Genomic DNA, 2,736 nt, shown 5'->3' with positions numbered 1-2,736 from the left:
AAATCATGGTTTTTTTTTAACCACCCCATCCCCTTTAAGTTTTAGTTGTCATGAATTACATCTACATGTATTGGATATCCCAGTACACTAAGCAGTACTTTTTGTTTTCTACTGTTATGTTTATTTTAAAGAATTAAAAAGGAGAGAAATGGGCTTATATATCTAATGAAATATTTAGCATCTCTGTTGCTTCTCCTGCATCCTCCATGTTCCAGGTTTCCCTGTGGTATCACTTCCTTTTGCCAAAATAACTTCTTTTAACATTCTTTTGGATTACATCTGCTGGTGAAAACTTCTCTTAGTGTTTTTCATTTAAGAATGAGGATGTTTGTAGTTTGTCTTCATTCCTAAAGGATGTTTACACTTTATGTATTCTGTGTTGACCATTCTTTTATTTTAGCACTTCACAAATGTTCCATTACCTTCTGATCTCTATAGTTCCCTCTAAGAAATCAGTAATAATTTGAAGAGTCATTTTTCCTTGCCTGTTTTCAAGGGTTTTTTTTGTCCTTGGTTTTCAGCATTTTAATTACAATTTAATTACAGCATTTTCTTTGAAATTTTCCTGGTTGGGCTTTGCTGAGCCTCTTGAATCTCTAAAGTTATGTTTTTACCAATTTGAGATGATTTCCACCTTAATTTCTTTGAAATTTTTCTGCAATCACATTCTTTCTCATGGTCTTCTGCAACCTATATGACGCCAAATTTAGACCTTGTTATATTGTCCTACAGGTATCAGAAGTGCTCTCTTTTCAATTTTTAAAAAATCTCTTGGTCAGATTAGGTCATTTTTATTGATCTGTCTTCAAGTTCATTGACATATTAATTTTGCTATTGAGCCCATCTAGTGAATTTTTAATTTTGTTTATTGTGTTTCCCAGTTCTAAAATTTCCAGTTCCAAAATGATCATTCTTTTTAATATCTTACTTCTCTGCAGAGACTTTCTATTTTTCATTTGCTTCAGAAGTATATGCCCTTTGTTCTTAGAGAAACATTTTAAATTCTTTGTCTCTTAAATTTAACATCAGGATCTATTTGGGATTGTTTTGTCAATTGTCTTTTCTCATGAGATTTTGTCAGAATTTCTGGGTTCTTTGAATATTGATTAGATGTTGATTGTATTTCAGACACTTTCAATATTGTGTTATGAGATGTGGGTCTTTTTAAATCCTATGGAGAATGTAGTTAGTATTTTTATAGTAAACCGTTGACCCAGTTAGGTTGAGGCCAGGAGTGCCATACTGCATTGATTCCCTTAGTTGTTTTCAAAACTGTTTGCAGTGCAATTTGCATCTGTCTCAAAATATATGCAGCCCAGAGGACAGTTTTAGACATAAATGGTAATCTATTCCATGCTTATTTTCTCAAAGCTACCTGTATGGTATTTTTTTTAAGTCAGATCCATGCATGTGCAGCTCAGGGGGAGCCTATGAATTCACCTACATCTTTACAAGATACCTTTCTCAAGTATCCTCTTCTCTGCTCTTTTTTCAACACTGTCTAGCTTCATACTTCAACTTTTCAGAGTTTATTTAGAACGAATATTTTACCATTTCAAATGAAATGTAGATACTTAAAGTCATATGTTTCTTTACCTTCCCACCCCCTTTAAGTTTTAGTTGTCATGAATTACATCTACATACACATCTCCCTCTCCCTTCATGGTCCTTTGTATAGAAAACTGACCAGCCTCCTCACTCTGCTGTGTATTTTCCATAAGAGGAGCTAAATAAAAATAAAATTAAAAAAAACCAGGAATTTTTCCTACACTTTATGGCCTCCTTTCTACTCATACCAGAAGGATAGGGGATTACTTTGGAGCTATTTCTGTCTACACTTCATGTGTAGTTCTGAGATGTGCACTGCCTTTAAGTACATATAGGCTGGGAAATATGGGAGGAAGGGAAAAATACACACTCACGATCAGATCATTTGTACATTGAGTTTTAACATCTTTCCCCAATTTACTTGCTACTGTTTCCTTTCCAAAGTCCTCAGATGGTTGCATTCAGTGGGAGAGACAAGATGCCATGTGCTTGCTCTAAATGAGCCGTATCTGGGGCATTCATAGTTTTAAAATAAGATTTATGTGTCTTCTTTTAACCTTAATACTGTAGAATCTCCCTTATATGTCCAAATTAACTTGTTTTAAAAGGGATAATGAAAAACAATTTCTCTTTTTTCCCCTTGCTTCTTACATGCCATCAAATCTCTTTCCTCTTTGACAGAAAAAGGAGGCACACTTAAACAGGATCTCATCACACTCTTTCTAGAACAATAATTCTATTTTTAATGTGTAAATACTTTTCTATCCTGGTAATATATTTTTCTGGAAAGTACGTAAAAGAAGTGTCCATACTTGGTAGCTGTCTGTACTTTCTTTTTTTCCCTCATATTGTGAAAGTCAGATAAATCAAAGAGGAATACTGAGATAACTACAAATATTAATGGCTTTCATAGAAGGATTCAAAATGTGATTCCAGTGGTATCTTCTGTAGGGTTAGTGTAAGTGAATGTTTATCTCTGTTCAAAAATAAAATGAAATAAAATAAATTACACCAAACATAAATAATACATTTGAGACAGTGGTAAACATTCAAACGAATTGTGGCTTGGTGCAGAGGAGATTCTGACAGTAAGAGCTATACCTGTGCACAGAATACCTTAGGCAACCACACACTAGACCCTTAACACCATCTACCTACCATCCCCTTCTTTGCCTTTCCTCAAAGGCA

Source organism: Homo sapiens, chromosome 2 (assembly GCF_000001405.40).
Source record: "Homo sapiens chromosome 2, GRCh38.p14 Primary Assembly".
NCBI classification, from domain to species: Eukaryota; Metazoa; Chordata; class Mammalia; order Primates; family Hominidae; genus Homo; species Homo sapiens.
The sequence above is the reverse complement of the archived record's forward strand: the minus strand, read 5'-3'. Positions refer to the sequence as shown.